This window comes from Homo sapiens, chromosome 7 (genome assembly GCF_000001405.40).
Source record: "Homo sapiens chromosome 7, GRCh38.p14 Primary Assembly".
NCBI lineage: Eukaryota > Metazoa > Chordata > Mammalia > Primates > Hominidae > Homo > Homo sapiens.
Genome location: NC_000007.14, coordinates 28,639,376 through 28,652,131, shown reverse-complemented (window position 1 = coordinate 28,652,131; position 12,756 = coordinate 28,639,376). Strand labels below are relative to the sequence as shown.

At 40.0% G+C, this 12,756-nt stretch overlaps 1 protein-coding gene across 11 annotated transcripts in view, besides 2 other annotated features; it reads right to left on the bottom strand.

Moving 5' to 3' along the window:
* Nucleotides 1-12,756, bottom strand: part of CREB5 (cAMP responsive element binding protein 5) — a 526,574-nt gene that overhangs the window by 173,763 nt on the left and 340,055 nt on the right. The window lies entirely within an intron of this gene.
* Nucleotides 7,874-8,374: an enhancer, noted in NCBI's record as "H3K4me1 hESC enhancer chr7:28683375-28683875 (GRCh37/hg19 assembly coordinates)". NCBI's record gives its function as "activates a minimal SCP1, AML or CMV promoter by ChIP-STARR-seq in naive and primed H9 embryonic stem cells {active_cell/tissue: H9 hESC(naive and primed)}" and the evidence as "EXISTENCE:reporter gene assay evidence [ECO:0000049][PMID:30033119]".
* Nucleotides 8,375-8,875: an enhancer, noted in NCBI's record as "H3K4me1 hESC enhancer chr7:28682874-28683374 (GRCh37/hg19 assembly coordinates)". NCBI's record gives its function as "activates a minimal SCP1, AML or CMV promoter by ChIP-STARR-seq in primed H9 embryonic stem cells {active_cell/tissue: H9 hESC(primed)}" and the evidence as "EXISTENCE:reporter gene assay evidence [ECO:0000049][PMID:30033119]".

The window sequence follows — 12,756 nt, the reverse complement described above, 5'->3', positions numbered from 1 at the left end:
TTTTTTTATTAATTATTTTGGGAGTAAGAGATTACTCCATTGCCAAAATTTATAATTTGGCTATTTTAACACATTTGTTTAGACTTCTAATAATAATAATGTCAATATCTTTCACTTTTAACCACCAAAAGCCAGTAGGTCAAACATTATTTATCCTGTTTTACAAGTGAGGAAGCTGAGGCTCAGACAGGTAGAAAGTCACAGAGCCAGAACTGGAATTCAGCTCTCATGATTCCTACCTAGCGGTGCTTCCTCTACCATGCTACCTAGAACCATGAGTTTACGAAAGCTTGAAATAGTGAAAGTGCAAAAGACAGGTGTAGCACTTCCAATAAAAGAATAAAATTAAAATTAAAATCAAAATGTAATATGCACAGTTAAGAATGCAAAACAGCACCTTGAAAACATAGGTGCATTTGGATAGGAGGAAAGAAAGTTCAGCAAAAGCTTACGTCTGACACATGTTGGTATCAAGTGCCCGGCGAAAGAAAGAGGACCAGGAAAAGTTGAAACAGAAATAGAAAGGTGCAGAAGTCTTTATTTTAATTTTTTTGTAGAGATGGGGTCTCACTTTGTTGCCCAGGCTGGTCTCAAACTCCTGGGCTCAAGCGATCCTGCCACCTTGGCCTCTCAAAGTGCTGAGATTACAGGCATGAGCCACCACGCCTGGCTCCAGAAGTCTTTCTTAAACCTGTGTTTCAAGTTCATTTAAGGCTTATTCTATATGCTGCTATGACATTAACAAGGCTCCTGGCTAGGTCACTTTTTGAACATATTTGGTGGGAAATGCTTTCTCTCCATTTGGCCCTTTCCTCAAGAATGCATTTACAGCCCTTTGTATTATTTTTAGCATATCTCCATCACATTCTGAAAGGACAGCAACAGTAGTATTCTTCTATATTGGCCTGAAGTCATTACTATGATTTTCAATAAAAATTGCCTGGCATATGCTAAAGTATATTTGTTCAAAGATATATTGGTTTTACAGGTTAATTTGCCAGAAGGTGCAAACCCACTTTTCCTATTAATTGAAAAAAAAAATAGTAAAAACAAAATCCTGTCCTCTAGCAATGAACTGTCTTTATATTCCCATTCTCCCTTTTACTACCACTGCCAATGTTGGATTGCTGCCATTCCTGAAAATAACCTGTAAAAGGCGTTCTGTTACCACTAATCATAGTACTTGGGCTTTTCTAGGGCACAGACCCCTGCCATCTTTATGTGAACCAAGTAAACACATCAGAAAACTTTCATCCAATATGCCAATGTCCAATAATCAAAGATGACTAAAATCACCATTTGTTGTCTCTTTTTTTAAAAAAAGATAATTAAATTTGAGATCTAAAGAGCCATCTGCTACCACTACAGATGAGTACATACTTAGTTTGGAAAATAATTGGTAATATTCTTTTTCTTTGCTATTAAGAAATATGTAGTTCAGAAATTTCAGCTTTATTTTATATCATTGAACAAAATAACCTTATGATGATTTGTTTCCTTCTAATCTGAACATTAATTTCCTATGGAAGGTTGGGGGGGGAAGCACTAGGCTAATTCTTAGTAGCCTGGTGTTGTGATGTTTTAGCCTTCCACTTGAAGGATTTTAGACTATCTGGATCTGTGTGATTGAAATGGCATGACTGTGTCCTGGCAGAAGTAATCAGTTCAGGCAGCTAAATGATGTGTAAATGGAAATGGCCACACAATTGATTTGACCAAGGCAATCAATACTGCTTTATGAAGACAGCAAAACAACAACAACAACAACAAAACCAAGCAGATCAGCTGGGCCACAGTCCCACTCCATGGCTACAAGTAGATACAATTTACCAAGAATGCTTAAGACAGAAAATCTTGTTCCAGAGAATCTGAGTTTCAAGGTGTATGTGAAATGCCCAAGTCAGCACCTGACACAAAGAAGGTGTTTAACAAATATTACCCTTTCCATTTCTCTATTCTGGACACAGAATTTTTCAAATGTTTCATTAGATTATGTGTTTTCAGTATGAAGTATAACAGTGATTAGCAGATACTGGGGACTATTGGTGTGTACACAATTCAACAGATGTAAATGGCAGATGTAAATGGGAATTGGAGAACGTTATCTACCGGTTTTGCACATTCCTTGTGACATGGCCATGAGTCTGCATGTTTCAAAGGGTGGCTTTCAATTGCAAGAGCTTCTTCTGTGACACTTTACTGTTCTTGATATTGTCCTAAGTGTTTTCTAGTAATCAACTGACTATTTAGCTCATTACTTCATGAAAGTATTATAATCCTGATGTTTCATATGAGATAATAATGAAAAGGTAAGTCATTCCAAACATAATTTATTTATTCATTCATCCATGCATTTAATCATTCATCAAAAATTATTGTTCACCCTCTATTTCTAAAAACTACACAGAATATAAGAGATAATAAGATATGGTCCATTCCTAAAACCAAGTAGCATTTATTGGGAGAATGATGAAAAAAGGTCTCAAATGAAAGGCAATACTATCCTTTCTATGCTGAATCAAATACATTCCAAGCGGGTTGAATACTCTCTGGTGGCTTGGAGTATGACCCATACTATATGTCATCTGCAAGGTCAGAGGTTGGCACACCTTTTTTGTAAAGTGCCAGATAGTAAATATTTTCATCTTCACAGGCCATCTGTTCTCCATTGCAACTGCTCCACTCAGCTGCCATAGACAATACATCAATGAATGGATGGGGCTGTGTTCCAATAAAACTTTATTTGTGGATACTGACATTTGAATTCATTTGAGTTTTACATGGCATGAAATACCATTCTTTCTATCTTTCCAACCATTTACAAATGTAGAAACTATTCTTAGCTTGTGGGACATACAAAACAGGTGGCAGGCTGAATTTGGCCCATGGGCCATGGTTTACCAATTCCTGTCCTAGGTTGAAGGCGTTTTGGTGGCTTCCTTTCTTTGGAAAATCTTGCTGGTGGCCAGGAATCACAGAGATTTCAACTGCCTGCTTCGTATATAGTTCACCTTTGACCACATATGTGAAGTTACCTTTATAATTTATTTATGTCTTCCAGGGAAACCACTGTGGGCTTTCTGCACACCTACGAAAACCAGTCCCTTCCTCTCTGGTGGGGTGTAACTGCCTAATGTTGCTCGTCATCCAGAAAAGCTCTATTTAGATTCCAAAAGCACAAAACCTTTATTGGTACATTAAAGCTTTTAAGGCATAGCTTTAATTGGAAAGAGAGCAAAAGAAGAGAGACTTCAGAAAAGCACAGGCTTCCTTTGGTTTGGTTTTGTTTTTAAATAAAAGAGTCTTTAAGTATATTATGGAAATTCTCAGTAATATTTTAGTAATAAATTTAATAGCACCTTTTCAAAGTTATTATCATTTTTTTTTCTTTAGACAGGGTCTCACTCTGTTACCCAGGCTGGAGTGCAGTAGCATGATCATAGCTCACAGCAGCTTCAATCTCTTGGGTTCAAACAATCCTCCCACCTCAGCCTCTTGAGCAGCTGAGACTACGGGCATGCACCAGCAAGCCCAGCTAATTTTTTTATTTTTATTTGCAGTGGAGATGAGGTCTCACTATGTTTCCCAGGCTGGTCTTGAACTCCTGAGCTCAAGCAATCCTCCTGCCTAAGCCTCCCAAAATGCTGGGATTACAGGTGTGAGCCACAGCACCCGGCCAAAGTTATCATCTTCCTATTCCTCTTTATATCTCAAGAGGTTCAGCGTCGAGGGCAATACAGCCTGTTCATTGTCTTACACCCATATTTATGTTTGTAAATTGAGTTGGATACTCTTTTTTTAAAGGCTAAATCCCATTGTCTTTATATCTCCTCTTCAAATAAAAGACTATCAAGAGAAATCACACACTTTGGTGCTAATCAGTGGTCCTTTTTCAACATAAATTCTTTATGATCCAGTTATCATTTATCTTACCCCTGAGAATGACAGTCTCTATACCCTCCCAGACCCTCTCACCAGGTATAAACCTAATTATCTTGCATTCAACATACTTTGCATTAAAAAATAACTTCAAACTTGCTATGGGAATCTCAAATATCCCTTCCAACTCTGCGCTATGATGCTATAATTTTTATAAGATTTCATCTAGATCTGCTGTGTCCAATACAGTAGCTGCTAGCCATATGTGGTTATTGTCAAATTCAAATTGAGCTTAAATTATGTACTTTTTCATTTTCTCTTATTTTTATTTTTTGTAGAGTTGGGGGTCTCACTATGTTGCCCTGGTTGGTCTTGAACTCCCGGGCTCAAGAGATCCTCCTGTCTCAACCTCCCAAAGTGCTGGGATTATAGGTGTGAGCCACTATGCCTGGCCCAAATTGGGTAAAATTAAATAAGATTTTAAAATTCCGTTCCTCAGTTGCACCAGCCACATTTCCATTATTGCTGAAAGTTCTACTGGACAATGCTGACCTACATTAAAGAAATAAAAAGACAATGCAGTTATGTCTGTCAATCTTGATTTATTTATATCAGCTAAGAATTATCCTGGCCAACTTGGCTCTTAATTTCTCCAGAAGTTGCAGATTTCCGGAATTACAAGTACTAATAATGTCTTAGTATTAGAGAGCAATGCCTTCTAATAGTAGGCTGGATTTTTTGTTTGTTTACTGCAAGCCTTCTATCTCCCATGTTTAGGACCAGAAATTAGCAAAATATCTTTAATCATACCACCCATATTAAACACATGCCATTTTAGGGAGGTATCCGGCATCTAATCTACTTTCCTCTTTTGGGGGGAATTTCTGTTGAATAAGGTCTTAGCAGAGCACACAATGCAGGCTTGGTCAATTGGATGCTCCACCCTAGTCTGTGACTCCAGGACAAGTGAGGTCAAGAAAGGGAAGACTGAGCCCTTTAGTGTCATGTTTGCGATGCTGTTCAGCAGTGATAGTGGCCAGTGGCCAGTGCTGGCAAGCCCTGGTGTCTGGCCACTGGCCACCATCACTGCTGGTCATCTGGAGCTACTCTGATCTCTGCGTCTTTGGTGTGATTGATTCCCTCCAGTCTCTGGCTAATTCGGGGAGTCCAAATATCTTTGAATAAATTCCCCTTTTCTGCTTAATAGGAGTAAGCTTTTTCTTCTCATTACCAAGATACATCTCCACTGATGTATCACCAGTGTTGCCCCTATGTTATTTTCACATTCTATAAACATCTTTTACAGGTTAGTCTAGTTTTCGGCCAATGAAATAAGCCCAGATGCAAAGAGTGTTGTTATTGTTGCTCCTGTTGTTGTACTGGTAGCTACTTAAAAAAAAATTTACAATCACTCTTTGTTGCAAAATAAATAATGGTGGCAGCCCAATTTTAAAAAAATCTCATTTGCAAAAGGATTTAGTCCACAAACAAATAAGTAAGAACATTAAAAAAAACACATTCCAATTTGTAATGGTATTTCCAACCTGCCCTTTGGGTTTCCATGTCAAAAATATTCTTTCCTTTCTGGACGATTTCTTTCTTCTAAGTTTAAAAGCTTTGTTCTCTGTTACCCTTGGTTAATGCTGTCATGGTAACCGGCACTATCTCTCTTGAAAACACATGAAATAATCCTGATCCAAAGACACTCAGAGGATGACCTTTTGCACTGTTAACATAGTCAGTGCAGAGATGGTGCAAGTAGGAATGGCTTTGAAAGATAAAGCAGGTATCACCTCAAATTGTTCCTTCAAAATATTTAAGGAGATGGCAGCACCAGGCCTTTAGAGAAAGATGTGACTGATGTTTCTCTCTTCCACTTTCTATTGTTTTTTGTTTTTTTTCCCCCTAACCACTAGACTACCTGGAATGATTTCTCTAGGTTTGCTCGGGATCTTTAGACTGAAAAATTGCTCATGGAAAAATAAGAGTGGGAGGATTTCTCACTGAAGAGGAAATTTTAGGTTTTCCTAACTCTCTAGCTCCTGGTCAGGGTTCTCCAGAGAAACAGAACCGATAGAAAATAAAGTGATAAACAGATCTATTATGAGGGACAGGTTCACATGACAATGAGGGCTTAGAAGTCCTATGATCTACTGTCTGCAAGCTGGAGGCCCAGGAATGCTGGTGGTGTAGTTCTAGTTCAACCCTGAAGCAGAGCCAGTGGTGTAAGTTCCAGCCCAAGTTCCAAGACCTGAGAACCAGAAGCAGATGTCTGAGGGCAGGAGAAGATGGGTGCCTCAGCTCAGAGAGCAAATTCACCTTTCCCCTGTCTTTCCATTCCATACAGGCCCTCAACAGATTGGATGATGGCCCACCTGGATTGGTGAGAGTGATCTTTAGTCAGTCTACTGATCCAAATGCTAATTTCTACTGAAAACACTCTCATATACCCAGAAAGAATACTTTATCAGCTATCTGGGCATCCCTCAGCCCAGTCAAATTGACACGTAAAATTAAAGAATACACTGGCAAAGCTGTTTTTCTCCAAACACTAGAAGCCTCATTTGCAGATCCATTTATCTCCTAGTACATACCAGCATCATAGAAACACTGATCATAAGGCATTTTAGTTCTTCCTCTGACCATTAAGAAAAACAAAAATCTCCAATCATAACATATGATTAAATATTCTCTGTCTCTCTGCACATTTCTGTATTTTATAATTAACATCAGCTCAGGCATTTACAAGAGTCCTGTGTATGCACAACACAGATTCTGGGATCAGCAAAATCACCCTATTGGGCACAGTATCCTATGATGCTAACAACCAGCTCTATTCAAAACCCACAAGCAAACCAGCCACTTCGTCAGGTTTTTCAAAAAGGAGGTAAAATCACCATCCACAGAACAACTGTAGTTTTATGTTAGTATCCAGAGAGATTACATTTCCAGTCTGAAATCTTCTCCCTCATGAAGATTCAAAGGTAATTAGGATTTTATCACCATAGTAATTATCATATAAAGGGACCCACAGATTGCAGGGTAAGAAAAGAAAATTATTCTTAATGCTGGCCATCATCTTTCCATTGCCTCAAGTTGTTCTAGGCTTATTCTTTATTACTCAGCTGAAGGCTGGGCCGAAACCTAGCCACAAGACTCAAGGGTTGGGGGGCTGCAATCAGGGTAGAGCAGAACTTGATCTGGACATTCCTATCTTGACAACGGCACTGGGGATCTTCCGTCTGAAAAGAGAGTTGGCCAAGGTACGCGTTGTTGGCCAAGAGTTTCCATCTGTGAGCCTCTTCACATGCCTTTCCTCTAATTGGCATAAACACTCATTGGATTTTGTGTGCTAAATAAAACTCATCCTCATTCTCAAGGAAGAGCAATCTAGAAAGACTGGTAGAAATTGACATTGGTGGGACAACAAAACTAACTAGCTCTTTGAAAATAATAATAATAAAAAACCTTAATGCTGCAGGTCAGTAAGCACTTTTAATTTTAATAGAGAAAAAATCTAGATGCAGATTGATGCACTAGAACCTTTCTGGTTTTTATTTGTCTTTCTTTTTAAACATCTGTAATATTTCAAATTGAAATTTCAAATTGAAATTGAAACATTTCAAATTGAAATTCAAAATTTCAAATTGAAACATAATGTTTTAATTCCTTGACCTTCACCCCACTCCACGTTCATTCACAGATAATGTTCTTTGTTCCCAGTTTGCAGTGGAGTGGAACGTTGGGGGCGCGACAAGGTCTTACGCTAGATAGAGTCGTGTTTTTACCATAATGGGACTCAATTTTATTCATAAAGTCTGGCCCCCCAAAATGGGTTTACATCAAAATAATCTGAAATTCCCACTGGTAGTCTGAAAACACTTCCTCTGGTGCTACTGTGGAATAGGGAAGGGCAATGACAAAAGGGTTTCTACCTTTTGAAGAAAGATGATAAGCCATCAGGCAGCCCAAGGCTGAGTGTGAGACACAGGCATCACCAGGTCTGCTTGTCCCAAGACACTCAGCTACATTACAGGAACTCCCCTTCCCTTCCCTTCCCTTCCTTTCCCTTTTTCTTTCTTTCTCTTTCTTTCTTTCTTTTTCTTTTCTTTTCTTTTTCTTTCTCTCCCTCTCTGTCTTTCTCCCCTCCCTCCCTTCCTTCCTTTTCTTTCTTTGACACTGAATCTTGTTCTGCTGTCCAGGCTGGAGTACAGTGAGGGGATCCTAGCTCACTGTAGCCTTGACCTCTTGGGCCCAAACAATTCTCCCACCTCAGCCTCCCTAGCAGCTGGACTATAGGTACACACCACCATGCCCAGCAGATTATTATCTCTTGTGGAGATGGGGTATCCCTATGTTGCCCATGCTGGTCTTGAACTCCTGAGCTCAAGTGATCCTCCTGCCTTGGCCCTGCCAAAGTGCTGGAATTCCAGGCATGAGCCACCACACCCAGCCAGGACTCCAGGTTTGTGTGTTTTTTTTTTTTCTTCCGCCCCCCCCCACCTCCCAAACCCGTGAACTATTCGTGAGACTTAAAGGGACAACTTTCTTATGGAGATTTGCCTCTAGCACAAAGTAGTGATGGTGATTGTGGTAAAACCTGATGCTTCTTTACCTCATTTAATCTCATAACAACCTGTTGAAGTAGGTATTTCTATTATCACCCTATTACAGATGAGCAAACACAGGATAGGGAGGACTTAAATAACCTAGGTCACATAGTTCCATTTAATTCAGAAAGGATGTGTATCTATCTGTGTAAGGTGGGGGAGGGTGACAGCCAAAGGTTACTATGGGAACAGGGCAGACACTGAAAGTGAATGGAAAAATGAAACATTCTTTTCTAGCCAGTTTGGAATGGAAGTGGAGTGCCAGACACATACAGACACCTAGAAATTTGACCCATATAATTCACCCTGTCGGTGACCTTGGACAAATATGCCCTAAACTTAGCTGGAAGATTCCCTATGGGAATTTGCAAGTGTTTTTGGAATTTCCCAGGAAGGCTGGTTCCAGGGGCAGATCTATGACTCTGTTTATGAATTCTTAGATATACTCACATTGTTACGCAAATTGAGCGAGAGAAAAAAATTCCTAACACCTACAAGTTCAATGCAGGTGCCACTGCAAACCCTCAGGACCCGACAATTGAGAATTTATTCTCGAGGAACTGGCTTTCTCAAAGGGTCTTTAGAAGTTTGGGGCTAGACAAGCCCAAAGTGTGTGTGTGTGTGTGTGTGTGTGTGTGTGTGTGTGTGTGTGTGTATGTGTGTGTGTGTGTGTGTGTGTGTGTGTGTGTGTAAATCTACCCTCCTTTCGGTCTGTTTGTGGCATATCTTAAACAGATCTGTATACACTCTGGGCCAAGGTTTAGCATGCTTGTGTTCATCCGTCTTGAAAAATATGCTAGCTATTACATATGCCATTTACATCTGCTCCCATCTGTACTCTGATCGCATGCAAAAATTCACGATGGACAGTTTAGTCAGCTAGGACTGCAAATAACTTTGTTAACAGAACTGAGATGAGACTAATACATGAGCAATCAATTGGAACATTTTCAGCAGAAGGAGTGAAGCTCACATCTGAAGTATACACAGAGGCCCTAATAAAAAGTATTACCCCATTGCCGAGCAGCATGTTTATTCCTTGACAGATATTAACAGGCTGATTGGCAAATCGTATTAAAGCATTAACATGCAGAAAAGCCCTTTGTATGTGAAAGAGCAAAAAAAGTTCAGCTTGAACTATTTTTAAAAATGAAGTAAAAACGAAGTTGGTAAATGCATGATTCTGTTGAACTAAATAGTTACGTTTGTATTAGTAACAGCTTCTCACTTTCTGGAGTTTTAATTATGTCTCTTGGGACTGGGAGAAGGGTGAGGGCGGGGCATATAGATTTTAACAGCTTATTTGGTTGCTATCCATACCTTTACTGCTGTTGAACTACAAAAATCTCCACAGGCAAAAATTCTTTGCATTGCAAATAAAATAGTTTTTCCCTGGTTTTTATCAGCATAGGTCCCACAAGGAACCGACAGCAGGTTTATGTCAATGAACAAGACTTATTGTTTTCAGATTTATTTTTTTATAGCAAAAAAGAAAAAAACCAGTTCATGCTGAACTTAAAACAAAGGCAACAAAGAACAATGAGACTCTAATACGGGGTTCCAGCACAATTGCTGGGTTGGATAAAGGCCATCTTACACCCAGGTATTTGTGGGAGATCTTGTTAATTTTGGTCCTCCCATAACTTGCTTCGCATTGTGACATGCACACCCAGGAACACGTGCACACACAGGAGCACATACACACACGTGCACACACGTGCCTTTTCTTTTGACCCAAAAGACAGATGTGTTTGCTGTGTGTGTATTTCTGGTTTCCATGATCCATCCATAAAAACGAATGGGATGGCGACTGCAGGTCAGAGGAGCAGAAGGTAAGGAATGAAAGACAAATCCTGGAGGATTTAGGGTATTTTATCTGGAATAAGATTGCGGAGGTGACAACTCTTCTCATGGAGCTGGATCTATAAAATCATTTCAAATTGTAGTCTAACTCACCATTTCCTTTCTGGCAGAGAAAATGATGTAGCTAGAAATGTGAAGGACCCAAAGCACATTTTGGGTGTTTAGTTTAGTTTTGTTTTTTCCCTGAAGCAAACACCGCCTGCAGGCCTCCACATCTGCCATGCCCGAAGGAGGGTACGCTTCGGCAGAGTGGAACAAGTATACCCTGGAAGTCAGGAGAACCTTGTGCTACGTTTAGCTCACCACAAAGTTGCTATGTGGGTGTTGGCAAGTCACTAAATTCCTTGGGGGTCCAAGTTTCTTTGTCTGAGCAATGGATTTTGCAAGGGGACTGCCTGGGTCCAGCTTTTCTTGGTTCCACGCTTTCCCCTTTGAAATTTTAGCCCCATCTTCCCTAACCCAAAGACAGTCCCTTCAGCCATCACCCGATGGGGGGGTGGTCCTTGTCATGACCCTGCATACCCAGCTTCTGGATGGTCCCCTTCAAACTTATTAAGCAGCAGCTCCTGAGTTCTGGGAGAATCACCTGGGCCAAATCATCCTCTCTGGGGCATTAGCTAACATTAACCCAGCTCCCAGGAACACTGCATTTCCACTAGGGATTCTTGACTCTTGAACAAGGATAATGGAATGTAGGCCCCTGACTTGATGCAGAGATGAAGGGGTCATTGTGGGTGATGTCGTTCAGGATGACACTCAATCATTTGGGGAAAACCAACCTTCTAAAAGGGGCCCCAGCTGCACCAAAGATTTAGAGACAAGAAGTTAAATGTGCTTGACAATAGAACTCAATTTTAAAGCACTGGCTCTCAGGGAAAACAAACTGGATATTAAAACTCCTTCTCAGGGGCATGCTGCTGCAATGACCGATGAACTGAAGGTGAGGAAATCATTTTCCCTCAGTACTCTAGGGAAGCGGGTCTCGATCTGGGGAACTAGGTAGGAATCATCAGTTTGAAGAAGGAGAGGAATGAGCATCGTACATTTGCAGGAGGTGTGTAATTTTAAAATGCTGTCCTGGCAACACTCCCAATTCCCAGGCTCATTTTCTTCCAGCATGTGGCCAGCCCATATTTTGTACTATATCCTAATTGTGGAACTTACCATACAAAGGCAACTTTCATAGTTCTTTCTTGTGATCGCCATAAAATATAGAAACACTTTCTATGTAATTTTTCTTAATCTAATTTTGTCGCAAGCAGTCATGTGATAGAAATGATATAAAAGAGGCATTTTTTCCAAATGGTAAAATGAACATCCAAATAGCTATACTTTTGTTAGTTGTTGCTGAAATTCTTATTTTTGCGTTGTTGGTTTTTGAAAGATGTTTGGTAAGCTTTTCACCAATATCATAGTGTTTTGGGCATTTGTTACTTCATGTGTGATCAAAATCAAAATACCACAGAAATGTTGTCACTGAGTTCACATGGTAAACATGGAAAACCTGTAGGCAATGCAGGGCAGTAAAGGTTGCTCCATCACGACATTTTTATGGTGTGAGCAGTCTGGATGGAGAGTTACGCTCTGTGGCTGAGGCTCTTGCTTTATTATCTAGAGTTTCACCATTTAGGGCTGAGCTGAGAGTGCAGAGTATCTGAGAAGGGAGAGGAGGCACACCCACCTACACTGCTCTGGAGCAGGTAACTAAGGTTAACAGTTTCAACCAAATTCCTCCTGCACATCCTATAGTCTGTGAGGCCAGAGTGAAGAGGCATGGGAATGACAGTGGGATTATATTCCTCATACACTAAGGGAGTACTTGTCTTTTACATCTAGCTGATCTCATACTTGTGTGTGCCGTCATTTTTTGCAGGAGTAGGTTCATAGAAAACCACAAACATAGCCAGTTGTGAATTTCAGGCAGGATTTGTGGCATTGATTTTCACTCTACAACACTGCTGCTGGTCTCAAGTTGACATGCTTTTAAGTATCAAAGGAACCTCGTTGATAACAAACTCTTGCCTGTCCCAATTCAAATTTACTGGAGAACTGGGTTCTCCTACATAGCAGATAAGACATGATTTCAGGGCTCCTTGAGGTCTGTTCTTGATGACTGTCAGGTAAGTCCTTGTGAGGTCTTTGGGTCCATGATTAGTGCCCGGCCTGCACTACTCAAGTTCCAGTGAGAAGCCAAAGTACCAAGAAATGATGGAGGTCTTGATTCCAACTCACACTTGTATTATGAAAAATTAAAACATGGATTCCTTTTATTAAATTTAAATATATTGTTCAATGCTCATTTTTGAGGAAAAAATGTGCAGCTAAGGCAGAATATAATAAATACCAACAAAAATCCATATTCCTGTTTCTATTTCTTAGCTCTTAGGACACAAAATTTAAGCCT